Source organism: Homo sapiens, chromosome 2, assembly GCF_000001405.40.
Source record: "Homo sapiens chromosome 2, GRCh38.p14 Primary Assembly".
NCBI classification, from domain to species: Eukaryota; Metazoa; Chordata; class Mammalia; order Primates; family Hominidae; genus Homo; species Homo sapiens.
This window is the reverse complement of record NC_000002.12, coordinates 161,278,107-161,291,651: the sequence shown is the minus strand read 5'-3', so window position 1 is coordinate 161,291,651 and position 13,545 is coordinate 161,278,107. Positions and strand designations below refer to the sequence as shown.

General features: G+C 42.9%; 6 annotated features.

The window, feature by feature from the left end:
• Positions 9,080-9,374: a silencer, noted in NCBI's record as "tiled region #9806; K562 Repressive DNase unmatched - State 25:Art". NCBI's record gives its function as "represses a minimal TATA promoter and a strong SV40 promoter by Sharpr-MPRA in K562 cells {active_cell/tissue: K562}" and the evidence as "EXISTENCE:reporter gene assay evidence [ECO:0000049][PMID:27701403]".
• Positions 9,080-9,681: a biological region, named in NCBI's record as "Sharpr-MPRA regulatory region 9806".
• Positions 9,181-9,681: an enhancer, noted in NCBI's record as "H3K4me1 hESC enhancer chr2:162138482-162138982 (GRCh37/hg19 assembly coordinates)". NCBI's record gives its function as "activates a minimal SCP1, AML or CMV promoter by ChIP-STARR-seq in naive H9 embryonic stem cells {active_cell/tissue: H9 hESC(naive)}" and the evidence as "EXISTENCE:reporter gene assay evidence [ECO:0000049][PMID:30033119]".
• Positions 11,220-11,514: a silencer, noted in NCBI's record as "tiled region #15701; K562 Repressive non-DNase unmatched - State 25:Art". NCBI's record gives its function as "represses a minimal TATA promoter and a strong SV40 promoter by Sharpr-MPRA in K562 cells {active_cell/tissue: K562}" and the evidence as "EXISTENCE:reporter gene assay evidence [ECO:0000049][PMID:27701403]".
• Positions 11,971-12,606: an enhancer, noted in NCBI's record as "OCT4-H3K27ac hESC enhancer chr2:162135557-162136192 (GRCh37/hg19 assembly coordinates)". NCBI's record gives its function as "activates a minimal SCP1, AML or CMV promoter by ChIP-STARR-seq in primed H9 embryonic stem cells {active_cell/tissue: H9 hESC(primed)}" and the evidence as "EXISTENCE:reporter gene assay evidence [ECO:0000049][PMID:30033119]".
• Positions 12,607-13,243: an enhancer, noted in NCBI's record as "OCT4-NANOG-H3K27ac hESC enhancer chr2:162134920-162135556 (GRCh37/hg19 assembly coordinates)". NCBI's record gives its function as "activates a minimal SCP1, AML or CMV promoter by ChIP-STARR-seq in primed H9 embryonic stem cells {active_cell/tissue: H9 hESC(primed)}" and the evidence as "EXISTENCE:reporter gene assay evidence [ECO:0000049][PMID:30033119]".

Here is a 13,545-nt window from a genome sequence, read left to right as displayed (position 1 = left end):
CCATTCTAACTGGTGTAAGTTGGTATCTCATTGTGGTTTTGATTTGCATTTCTCTGATGGCCAGTGATGATGAGCATTTTTTCATGTGTCTGTTGGCTGCATAAATGTCTTCTTTTGAGAAGTGTCTGTTCATATCCTTTGCCCACTTTTTGATGGGGTTGATTTTTTTCTTGTAAATTTCTTTAACTTCTTTATAATTTGTGGATATTAGCCCTTTGTCAGATGGGTAGATTGCAAAAATTTTCTCCCATTCTGTAGGTTGCCTGTTCACTCTGATGGTAGTTTCTTTTGCTGTGCAGAAGCTCTTTAGCTTAGTTAGATCCCATTTGTCTATTTTGGCTTTTGTTGCCATTGCTTTTGATGTTTTAGTCATGAAGTCCTTGCCCATGCCTATGTCCTGAATAGTCTAGGTTTTCTTCTAGGGTTTTTATGGTTTTAGGTCTAACATTTAAGTCTTTAATCCATCTTGAATTAATTTTTGTGTAAGGTGTAAGGAAGGGATCCTGTTGCAGCTTTCTACATATGGCTAGCTAGTTTTCCCAACGCCATTTATTAAATAGGGAATCCTTTCCCCATTTCTTGTTTTTGTCAGGTTTGTCGAAGATCAGATGGTTGTAGATGTGTGGTGTTATTTCTGAGGCCTCTGGTCTGTTCCATTGGTCTATATCTCTGTTTTGGTACCAGTACCATGCTGTTTTGGTTACTGTAGCCTTGTAGTATAGTTTGAAGTCAGGCAGCATGATGCCTCCAGCTTTGTTCTTTTGGCTTAGGATTGTCTTGGCAATGTGGGCTCTTTTTTGGTTCCATATGAACTTTAAAGTAGTTTTTTCCAATTCCATGAAGAAAGTCATTGGTAGGTTGATGGGGATGGCATTGAATCTATAAACTACCTTGGGCAGTATGGCCATTTTCACAATATTGATTCTTCCTATCCGTGAGCATGAATGTTCTTCCATTTGTTTGTGTCCTCTTTTATATCATTGAGCAGTGGTTTGTAGTTCTCTTTGAAGAGGTCCTTGACATCCCTTGTAAGTTGGATTCCTAGGTATTTTATTCTCTTTGAAGCAGTTGTGAATGGGAGTTCACTCATGATTTGGCTCTCTGTTTGTCTGTTATTGGTGTAGAGCAATGCTTGTGATTTTTGCACATTGATTTTGTATCCTGAGACTTTGCTGAAGTTGCTTATCAGCTTAAGGAGATTTTGGGCTGAGACGATGGGGTTTTCTAAATATACAGTCATGTCATCTGCAAACAGGGACAATTTGACTTCCTCTTTTCCTAATTGAATACCCTTTATTTCCTTCTCCTGCCTGATTGCCCTGGCCAGAACTTCCAACGCTATGTTGAATAGGAGTGGTGAGAGAGGGCATCCCTGTCTTGTGCCAGTTTTCAGAGGGAATGCTTGCAGTTTTTGCCCATTCAGTATGATATTGGCTGTGGATTTGTCATAAATAGCTCTTATTATTTTGAGATACGTCCCATCAATACTTAGTTTATTGAGAGGTTTTAGCCTGAAGGGCTGTTGAATTTTGTCAAAGGCCTTTTCTGCATCTATTGAGATAATCATGTGGTTTTTGTCTTTGGTTCTGTTTATATGATGGATTGATTACGTTTATTGATTTGCCTATGTTGGACCAGCCTTGCATCCCAGGGATGAAGCCAACTTGATCATGGTGGATAAGCTTTTTGATGTGCTGCTGGATTCAGTTTGCCAGTATTTTATTGAGGATTTTTGCATCGATGTTCGTCAGGGATACTGGTCTAAAATTCTCTTTTTTTTGTTGTGTCTCTGCCAGGCTTTGGTATCAGGATGATGCTGGCCTCATAAAATGAGTTAGGGAGGATTCCCTCTTTTTCTGTTGATTGGAATAGTTTCAGAAGGAATGGTACTAGCTCCTTTTTGTACCTCTGGTAAAATTCGGCTGTGAATCCGTCTGGTCCTGGACTTTTTTGGTTGGTAGGCTATTAATTATTGCCTCAATTTCAGAGCCTATTATTAGTCTATTCAGGGGTTCAACTTCTTCCTGGTTTAATCTTGGGAGGGTGTATGTGTCCAGGAATTTATCCATTTCTTCTAGATTTTCTAGTTTATTTGTGTAGAGGTGTTTATAGTAGTCTCTGATGGTAGTTTGTATTTCTGTGGGATCAGTGGTGATATCCCCTTTATCATTTTTTATTGCGTCTATTTGATTCTTCTCTCTTTTCTTCTTTATTAGTCTTGCTAGCGGTCTATCAATTTTGTTGATCTTTTCAAAAAACCAGCTCCTGGATTCATTGGGTTTTTGAAGGGTTTTTTGTGTCTCTGTCTCCTTCAGTTCTGCTCTGATCTTAGTAATTTCTTGCCTTCTGCTAGCTTTTGAATGTGTTTGCTCTTGCTTCTCTAGTTCTTTTAACTGTAATGTTAGGGTGTCAATTTTAGATCTTTCCTGCCTTCTCTTGTGGGCATTTAGTGCTATAAATTTCCCTCTACACACTGCTTTAAATGTGTCCCAGAGATTCTGGTATGTTTTGTCCTTGTCCTCATTGATTTCAAAGAACATCTTTATTTCTGCCTTCATTTCTTTATGTACCCAGTAGTTATTCAGAAGCAGGTTGTTCAGTTTCCATGTAGTTGAGCGGTTTTGAGTGAGTTTCTTAATCCTGAGTTCTAGTTTGATTGCACTGTGGTCTGAGAGACAGTTCGTTATAATTTCTGTTCTTTTACATTTGCTGAGGAGAGCTTTACTTCCAACTCTGTGGTCAATTTTGGAATAAGTGCAATGTGGTGCTGAGAAGAATGTATATGCTGTTGATTTGGGGTGGAGAGTTCTGTAGATGTCTATTAGGTCCACTTGGTGCAGAGCTGAGTTCAATTCCTGGATATCCTTGTTAACTTTATGTCTCGTTGATCTGTCTAATGTTGACAGTGGCATGTTAAAGTCTCCCATTATTATTGTGTGGGAGTCTAAGTCTCTTTGTAGGTCTCTAAGGACTTTCTTTATGAATCTGGGTTCTCCTGTATTGGGTGCATGTATATTTAGGATAGTTTGCTCTTCTTGTTGAATTGGTCCCTTTACCATTATGTAATGGCCTTCTTTGTCTCTTTTGATCTTTGTTGGTTTAAAGTCTCTTTTATCAGAGACTAGGATTTGCAACCCCTGCTTTTTTTGTTGTTTTGTTTTGTTTTGTTTTCCATTTGCTTGGTAGATCTTCCTCCATCCCTTTATTTTGAGCCTATGTGTGTCTCTGCCCGTGAGATGGGTTTCCTGAATGCAGCACACTGATGGGTCTTGAGTCTTTATCCGATTTGCCAGTCTGTGTCTTTTAATTGGAGCATTTGGTCCATTTACATTTAAGGTTAATATTGTTATACGTGAATTTGATCCTGTCATTATGATGTTAGCTGGTTATTTTGCTCGTTAGTTGATGCAATTTCTTCCTAGCATCGGTGGTCTTTACAATTTGGCATGTTTTTGCAGTGGCTGGTACCAGTTGTTCCTTTCCATATTTAGTGCTTCCTTCAGGAGCTCTTGTAAGGCAGGCCTGGTGGTGACAAAATCTCTCAGCATTTGCTTGTCTGTAGAGGATTTTATTTCTCCTTCACTTATGAAGCTTAGTTTGGCTGGATATGAAATTCTGGGTTGAGAGTTCTTTTCTTTAAGAATGTTGAATATTGACCCCCACTCTCTTCTGGCTTGTAGAGTTTCTGCTGAGAGATCAGCTGTTAGTCTGATGAGCTTCCCTTTGTGGGTAACCCGACCATTCTCTCTGACTGCCCTTAATATTTTTTCCTTTGTTTCAACTTTGGTGAATCTGACAGTTATGTGTCTTGGAGTTGCTCTCCTCGAGGAGTATCTTTATGGCATTCTCTGTATTCCATGAATTTGAATGTTGGCCTGCCTTGCTAGGTTGGGGAAGTTCTCCTGGATAATATCCTGAAGAGTGTTTTCCAACTTGGTTCCATTTTCCCCGTCACTTTCAGGTACTCCAATCAGACGTAGATTTGGTCTTTTCACATAGTTCCATATTTCTTGGAGGCTTTGTTAGTTTATTTTTACTCTTTTTTCTCTAAACTTCTCTTCTCGCTTCATTTCATTCCTTTGATCTTCAATCACTGATACCCATTCTTCCACTTGATCGAATCGGCTACTGAAGCTTGTGCATTCATCACGTAGTTCTCGTGCCATGGTTTTCAGCTCCATCAGGTCATTTAAGGACTTCTCTGCATTGGTTATTCTAGCTAGCCATTCATCTAACTTTTTTCAAGGTTTTTAGCTGCTTTGCGATGGGTTCGAACATTCTCCTTTAGCTCAGAGAAGTTTGTTATTACCAGTCATCTGAAGCCTTCTTCTCTCAACTTGTCAAAGTCATTCTCCATCCAGCTTTGTTCCGTTGCTGGCGAGGAACTGCATTCCTTTGGAGGAGAAGAGGCGCTCTGATTTTAGAATTTTCAGCTTTTCTGCTCTGGTTTCTCCCCATCTTTGTGGTTTTATCTACCTTTGGTCTTTGATGATGGTAATGTACAGATGGGGTTTTGGTGTGGATGTTCTTTCTGTTTGTTAGTTTTCCTTCTAACAGTCAGGACCCTCAGCTGCAAGCCTGTTGGAGTTTGCTGGAGGTCCACTCCAGACCCTGTTTGCCTGGGTATCACCAGCAGAGGCTGCAGAACAGCAAATATTGCAGAACAGCAAATGTTGCTGCCTTATCCTTCCTCTGGAAGCTTAGTCTCAGAGGGGCACCCAGCTGTATGAGGTGTCAGTCGGCCCCTACTTGGAGGTGTCTCCCAGTTAGGCTACTCAGGGGTCAGGGACGCACTTGAGGAGGCAGTCTGTCTATTCTCAGATCTCAGACTCTGTTCTGGGAGAACCACTACTCTCTTCAAAGCTGTCAGACAGGGACATTTAAGTCTGCAGAAGTTTCTGCTACCTTTTGTTCAGCTATGCCCTGTCCCCAGAGGTGGAGTTTACAGAGGCAGGCAGGCCTCCTTGAGCTGCGGTGGGCTCCACCCAGTTCGAGCTTCTGGGCCACTTTGTTTACCTACTCAAGCCTCAGCAATGGCAGATGCCCCTCCCCCAGCCTCGCTGCCTCCTAGCAGTTGGATCTCAGACTGCTGTGCTAGCAGTGAGTGAGGCTCCTTGGGCATAGGACCCTCCAAGCCATGCGTGGGATATAATCTCCTGGTGTGCTGTTAGGACCGTTGGAAAAGCAGGGTATTAGGGTGGGAGTGTCCCGATTTTCCAGGTAACATCTGTCACGGCTTCCCTTGGCTAGGAAAGGGAATTCCCCAACCCTTTGCACTTCCCTGGTGAGGCGATGCCCTGCCCTTCTCCGTGGGCTGCACCCACTGTCCAACAAGCCCCAGTGAGGTGAACCCGGTGCCTCAGCTAGAAATGCAGAAATCACCCATCTTCTGCGTCACTCAAGCTGGGAGCTGTAGACTGGAGCTGTTCCTATTCAGCCATCTTGGAACCTCCTCCACTTTATTTTATCCTAGATACAAGGTCCCACTCTCTCACCCAGGCTGGAGTGCAGTGGTGCAATCATAGCTCACTGCAGCCTTGGTCTCCTGGGCTCAAGTGATCATTCCACTTCAGCTTCCGGAGTAGCTGAGACTGCAGGTGTGCTCCACCATGCCTGGCTAATTTTGTTTGTTTGTTTGTTTTTGGTATTTTTTGGTAAAGACTGGGGTCATGCTATGTTGCCCAGGATAGTCTCAAACGCCTGGGCTCAAGCAATCCTCCCACCTCAACCTGGCTTGCACTTGAATTTTTAATATGCATATTTAATGTATCAATGTCTAAATTTAATCAGTATCTCTCTCATTTCTGCCTAAGCAGGAAACTTAAGATGCTAAAAACTCCAATAAACTTCTCTTCTATCTTCCATATTATTGTTCTCCAGTTCCATCTTGCTTTTGAAACTCTCATGGTTAATCATTATATTTATTTTTTGTTTGTTTTTTGAGATGGGTCTTGCTCTGTCTCCAGCCTGGAGTGCAGTGGCATGATCTCGGCTCACTGCAACCTCCACCTCTTGGGTTCAAGTGATTCTCCTGCCTCAGCCTCCTGGGTAGCTGGGACTACAGGCACACGCCACCACGCCCAGCTAATTTTTGTATTTTTAGTAGAGATGGCATTTCACCGTGTTAGCCAGGATGGTCTCAATCTCCTGACCTCGTGATCCGCCCGCCTTGGCCTCCCAGAGTGCTGGGATTGCAGGCGTGAGCTACCACTCCCGGCCATTATATTGATTTTTTCAGTCAATGTTAGACTTACACACATGATTACTGATTTCTTTGCTCACCATTGTTTCTTGCATATGGACTTTATTGCCTTCTTATTGAAATACGTCATTTATTAGTGCTTTCAGTGAAAATCAGTGAATAGTAAACTTCTGTTGACTTTGAAAATATATTTTCTCTCACTCTTGTATGATAATTTAACTAGCTACTACATTCTAGGTTATTGGTTATTTTCCCTCAGAATATTAAAAATATTGTTCTGTTGTTTTCAGTCATTTATTTTTGCTATTTTTTTTGTAGGTACTCCATTTTTTTTGGTTGTTGATTTCATGGTAGTTTTTTTGTTTGTTTTTACTTTTGAGATTTTTGCCTTTGAATTTAGTATTTGGAGTTTCATTTTGATATAGGTATATCTAGCAATATATTCATTTTAATTTAATTTTTCAGATTTCGGTGCCCTTCTTCAGTTTGAGGAATTCAAGTATTTCATCAATTTCAAAAAAAAAAAAAAAAAAATTCTCAGCCATCTTCTTTTCTTTGCTTCCCCCCACTTCTCTCCACTCCTTTCATCTGTAACTAGTATTAGAGATACACGGTTGGCCCTTGCTCAGTGGGAGTGGAAAGGATTAGGAGTACTGAGCCCTGTGCAGTCTAAAATCTGTGTATAGCTTTTGACTCTCCCCAAATTTAGCTATTAATAGCCTGTTCTTGACCAGAAGCCTTACCTATAACATAAACAGTCAATTAACACATATTTTGTATGTCATATGTATTTTTTTAAAGATGGAGTTTTGCTCTTTCATTCAGGCTGTAGTGCAGTGGTGTGATCATACTTCACTGCAGCCTTGAACTTCTGGCCTTAGCAATCTTCCTGCCTCAGTCTCCTGAGAAGCTGGAACTAAAGTCGCAAGCCACCTTACCCAGTTGATAAATAATCTTTTGTTTGTTAAACTGCTAAGATTTTTGAGTTGTTTGTTATGCAACATAAGCCTAGCCTCTCCAAGGCTTGCTTAGTGTCCCCCTTTTCTAAAATATTGCTTAGTATCCCCCTTTTCTAAAATATTCTTGCTGGGACTCTGACTGGGAGCCTTCTATCCCTCAGAATCCCTGTAGGAAATAGATATGTATTTAAAAGACAGTTTAATGAAGACTTCATTAAGAGATGTGGGAAAGTTTAAAGGAACTCAACAAGGGAAAGTGTTAGGAAGGAATTAGGTTCCTTGAATGGTAGGAAGCCATTACTACCCGTAGACTTAAAAGGGCAAAGGAAGTAGTTGTTACCAGGACCTGAGAGGAAATCCATAGCCACAGGCTCTGGGCCATCTGACAGAAACTATGGCCTTAGTGGAATCCAGACATTCTCAAGCTGAGACCTGGCAGGGAGAGAGCCAGAAAAATGAATACACTAATTCAAGCTTGTCCAATCTGCAGCCAGGAGGGCTGCACACAGCCCATGGCAGCTTTGAATGTAGCCCAACACAAACTCACAAACTTTCTTAAAACTTTTGTGATTTTTTTTTTTTTTTAGCTCATTAGCTATCATTAGTTTTAGTGTATTTTATATGTGGCCCAAGACAATTCTTCTTCCAGTGTGGCCCAGAGAAGCCAAAAAATTGGACACCCCTGTGCTAATTTCCTTCTTTTCCTGCTCCCTTACTTCCTGCAATTAGCCAAAGCCAACCAGAAGCCAGAAGGCAAGGAAGTCTTTAGAGGCCAGCCTTTCTGGGTAGAGAGCAGAGTGGGGAAGGTGAAGAACAAATGTAGAGGGGCCAACAGAAAAAACATCCAGTGCAAGCCTCATCAAGTCTTGACATATCATGCTCTAGAAAATTAACTCAACAAATGACATCTAAGGAGGAATTTCATGGCCCAACCACACTTGACAATCACTTTGAAAGTTATAAGGATTAGGAAAAATGCACTGATTTTAGGGGACCATGCTGGGATATTAAATCAATTTAGGGGACCATGTGTGTCTTCCCTAAGATTAGTTAAAAATTACTTTAGAATTAGTTAAAATTAAAACTTTAAAAATAAAAACAGGAAATGGGTATGTTTACATCTGAACTGAATAAAATTTAAAAATAAGATGATCAATGCATTTTATCTTTAAAATCGTGTTCCTACCGTCGCCGTAAGTTGTAATTTTGGACATCCAGCAAACTTCCCACTCTAGTTTATTGTGAGCTCTTTCAGTACAGAAACCTAATCTTAAAACCCTAGTATCTTGCTCGGTTCTCAAGAAGTAGAGTAAATGAATGAATGAATGTTAACCACAAAAAGATTCTGCAGGATGGATAGTGAAGGAATTTATTTCATAGGTTACTTGAACAGAGTTTATATCTGTGCTGTAACAACGCAGCCCTGTTTTGAAGGATGCACACAATTGTTGGAAGCGGGAACAGAAGTTTATTCTAGCGTGCCCCCCTCCCCTTGTTGTTTTTGTTTTTCTTTTAAGAATAATCGGTGAACTCAAATGAGTGAGTTATGTCATTATAGAGGTAAATTTATTTCTGCTATAAGTTTTTGAAAAATTATTTGCAAACTTTGCTGCTCTTTTCGTTTCTTTCTTTCTTTTTTTTTTTTTTTGACAGAGTCTCACTGTCACCCAGGTTAGAGTGCAGTGGCATGATCTCAGCTCACTGCATCTTCCACCTCCCGGGTTCAAGCAATTCTCTTGTGTCAGCCTCCCGCGTAGCTGGGACTACAGTACAGACGCCCGCCACCACACCCAGCTAATTTTTGTATTTTTAGTAGAGATGGGGTTCACATCAGCAGTGTCACTGCCAGGAAGGAGGGTCATGCTAGCCATGTCACCGGTAGTGTGGCCCGCAGGGACGCCGACATGCTGGAGTGTAGTGCCAGCATGGGCTCTGGCAGCCACGTGGGCCAGCAGGAGGGTCCCGCTGCATAGCTGTGGGGTGAGGATAGACTGGGCGGTGATATCGGCCATTACAGGGGCCTCTTCTGCTGGCAAGAGTGTGACAGTAGCAAGTGGATGGACAGGCCTGTGTGTGAGGATGGAATGCAGGAGGGGCTTTTCTGCGGCTGGGTGTGGGGCCCTCACCAGAAATGTGGAGAAATGGCCAGGTAGCTGCATCATGTTGGCTGGTAGATTGGCCAGGGCTTCGAACTGAAGGACAATAACGGGGAGTAGCTGTCAGGCCCTGGGAGTGTCTGAGTGTAAGTGGAGATGGGTTTGGGGTCACTGAGGGATGCGTGGGAGCCATCCCTGTATAGATACAGGTCATAGGGAGATAGTCTCGTGAGGCCTGTGAGTGTCCAGGGTTCCCCTGTGTGCCTGGGGCTGACTGTGGCAGAAATCTGGGGAAGGCTGGAGAGAAGCTGGGAGACACAGGAGAGTCCCTGAGGCCTGGGGGTGAAGAGTTGAAAGACATAGGGGAGGAGCACCGTGAGGCTCGTGAGTTTGTAGGTGATTCCTGGGTGTGGAGGGCTGACTCCAGCTGAAATCTGGGGTTGTTTGGAGAGTAGCTGGGAGACACAGGAGACTCCCCGAGAGCTGGGGGTGAGCTGCTGGGTGATGGCAGTAGGAACATGTGGTATATTATTGATGAACGTGGTGACTCTGAAGAATCCTCAGAGGAGGACACGGGAGAGCCCAATGGCTTCATTGATTGCCCATCACGGAGAGGACAGGGAAATGGGAGCTTGTGGGATACTGGTGATGACAGAGGTGAGTGTGGTGAAGCCCTAGGGGATGGTGAATGGTAGCTCCGGATCCCTGGTGAGGAGCTTCCTCTTAAGTCTGAGTATCTGAGAGGGGAGAGGGAGAAGCTGGGTGAGGCTAGCATGGATCTTGGGGAGTCCGGGCTGGGGGACCGTTCATAAGAAGAGCCAGACAAGACCCTACTGTTCTTAGGTGCAGACATGATTAGGAAACCTGCAGCTCCCAGGGACCCCCACTAATTTTCTAACCCGCAGAATGAAGGAGTGTGTGTGTGTGTGTGTGTGTGTGTGTGTGTGTGTGTGTGTTTGTGTGTGTGGTGTGAGGTATGTGCTCCTTAAGAAAATGGAAATAAGCCAACCAATGAGACAGACAGACAGACAGACAGAGATTCACTTGCCCAAGTGTTCTGTCCTGTCCTCTGAATCCGCTTCCAAGTCGCAAGACGCTGTGAGCTCCAAGTCCACGCAGAGTCCGCCAAACGCTCCGGCCGCTGCTCCGCTCTGCGAAGATCTGAGTACAGGCCTGCCAGGGTGGGTTTAAATAGCCTCGGGCGCAGCCTCGCAGCAGAAAGGGCGGAGCTTCACTCCTCCTTTCCACCAGTCACCCCCAACTTTCCCAGGCTACACCTCGTAGGAAACTGTTCTCCTGATTGGATTTCATGCGCCACCTTTGGGACAATCTAAGACCTTACAAGTTTTCTTGGCCAAATATATTATGAATTAAATGCACTGAAACACTGAAAACCAACTAGTGGTTCTGTGGTTCCCACGTTGTGGTTTTGACACCAGCAGCATCCTTGCAACCCTCAAACCCCGGAGATCCACAGATCTGTGTTGTAACAAGCCCTCCCCCTGACCCTGATGCATGGCAGTTTAAGAATTACCCGTGTAAGCGAAAAGACTTTGAAGAAGAGGTGGAGATATGCGTTGTATAAACATTCTTTTGCTCTGGAACCCCGTAGAGACTTGGGAGCCAGTTGGGTGGAGCATTCGTTGGATGAGGGTGCTCAGGTTAGGAATATCAAGGTGTGGCTCCAGATAATTCAATCATCTAATTAAGTTTCCTGTTATGCTAATCTGTTTTAAAATTCCGTTTGTGTAAATTCTTTTACTCAGACTGAGAATGGCAAAGCCTCAACCCCAATTTCCAGGGAGAGTTGAGAGCCTCAGGTTGAGCTGATCACCAATAGCCTATGGTTTAACCCATCATGCCTATAGAATGAGGTCTCCATAAAAACCCAAAAGGACTGGGTTTAGAGAGCTTCTGGATAACACTTCCTGGAAGGCAGTGCGCCCCTCCCCACGTGCCGGGCCCAAAATTTTTTTCTGAATTTTTTTCAGAAAAATACAATGGGAAATGTCAGTGTTTCCCTGCGTGCTGTGAGCTCTTCCAGCAAATGAATGCAACTAAAACTGGGAGTGGTGGAAACCTGATTTATAGCCAGTTGCTGAGAAGCACAGGTAAAACAACGTAGGGCTTCCCATTGTTATTAGTGTGGGAGGCCAGTCTTGCGGGACTCGGCCCTTTGGAATCTAATGCTGTGTCCCGGTAGATAGCGTCACCGTTGAATTCGAAGACACACATATGTTGGGAATAATTTTTCTGGTCATTTGCTGCATGTCTTATTTACAATACGTAATCAAATTCTTTATCCTGACCTTATGGCACCTGGGTTGAGAACCATGATTTGAACCAAAAATTGGTCTGTCACTTTCTGAGTTTGAAACTTTGTTTTGCCGTTAGCGTTTTGCTATTGCTTTCTCGTTTTCTTTTGTTTCGTTTTGTTTCTAAGTTCTGGGGTATATGTGCAGGATGTGCAGATTTGTTACTAAGGTAAACGTGTGCCATGGTGGTTTGCTGCACCTGTCAACCCAACACCTAGGTATTAAGCCCAGCATGCAGTAGCTGTTTTTCTTAACGCTCTGCCTCCCAAAAGGCCCCAGTATGTGTTGTTCCCCTTCCTGTGTCCATGTGATCCCATTTTTCAGCTCCCATTATAAGTGAGAATGTGGCGTTTGGTTTTGTTTTCCTGGATTAGTTTGCTGAGGATAATGACTTCACATCACCAGTGTTTTTGTTTTTTATTATAAAGAGTAGTATTTTATTGAATAAGATTTACTCACAGAAAAATAAGCTTTAATCTACAATGAATGCCAGACTCTACAGCAGAAAGCAATTTTCTCAGTTTTCCACACACAAAGGTTCCTACTAAGTGAAAAAAGCCATAAAATTTCATTCACAAATGTACTACTCTGTCTCAAAACATTTCACATAATCATGCACTGTACTAATACCATTAGATCAGTTCTTCAGTCAGGTTAAAGTATCCCTCTAATAACTGATTTTTATAATGCTATCAATATCCACGCCCTATCAGTCTGCCATTGTTAATGGTGTACAGCATTATTGAATACAATGGAATTGATGAAGCCCATATCCACGGACAAACCGTGACTTATGATGGTTTGGTTTATGATTTTTCAACGTTATGATGGGTTTATTGGAATATTAGATGCGTTTCTGAGTTACACTGGGTTTATGAGCATGCGACCCTATACTCCAGAAACAGCTGTATAAAGAAAAACAGGTGTGCCTAATTAAAATATACTTAGTGACCTGGGATAAACCAATAGATGCTTACAACTGATGGAGAACCATGAAAGAGAGATAGCGGTAAATAATTACAATAACACAATTTTCCAGCACCTGTCGAGGATTCCCCAAAAAGACGCAGAACGTAGGATGCACCTAAGGCACATGAAAGAGAGAGGGCAGAAGGAGTAAGAGAGAAATAGGAAGGAAGGAAGGAAGGAAGGAAGGAAGGAAGGAAGGAAGGAAGGAAGGAAGGAAGGAGAAAACACCCAGTGTTACTAAAACCCCAAAAAAATGGTTTCCCCCTGTGGGTAAGGCTGCAATGTGGATGAATCTTGAAAATATTGTGCTAAAAGTGTTATGTCAGTCATCAAAGCTCACGTATTATGCAATTCCGTTTATAGGAAATGTCCACAATATGGAAATCTATGCATATGGGGTTGATCGCTCTATGCAGTTGTTACCTAGGGCTGAGGGTCAGGGAGAGGGTTTGAGACAGAATGAGGAGTGACTAATGTTCACAGGGTTTTTCTCTGGTCGGGGGTGATAAAACGTTCTAAAATGGATTGTGAATTAAAATTGAATGTGCACAACCACAAGCATAGTAAAAGCCCTTTCTTCTCTTTTATTTTTGTTTGTTTTTTAGAGATGAGATCTGTGTTGCCCAGGCTGGAGTGCAGTGGCATGGGCGGGATCATAGCTCACTGCAGCTTTGAACTCCTGAGCTCAAGCAACTCCCCTGACTCATCCTAGCTGCAATTCTGTAGCTAGGACTACAGGTGTGCACCACCACCCCTTGCAAATTTTTTATTTTTGTTTTTATTTTGTAGAGATAGGGTCTCACTATGTTTCCTAGGCTGGTCTCGAACTCCTGGCCTCAAGCGATCCTGTAGCCTCAGTCTCCTAAATTGTTGGGATTACAGGCATGAGCCACCATTCCTGGCCTCTTATATTTTATTATTATTATTTTGAGACAAAGCCTTACACTGTCACCCAGGCTGGAGTGCAGTCGCGGGATCACGATTCACTGCGGCCTCAAACTCCT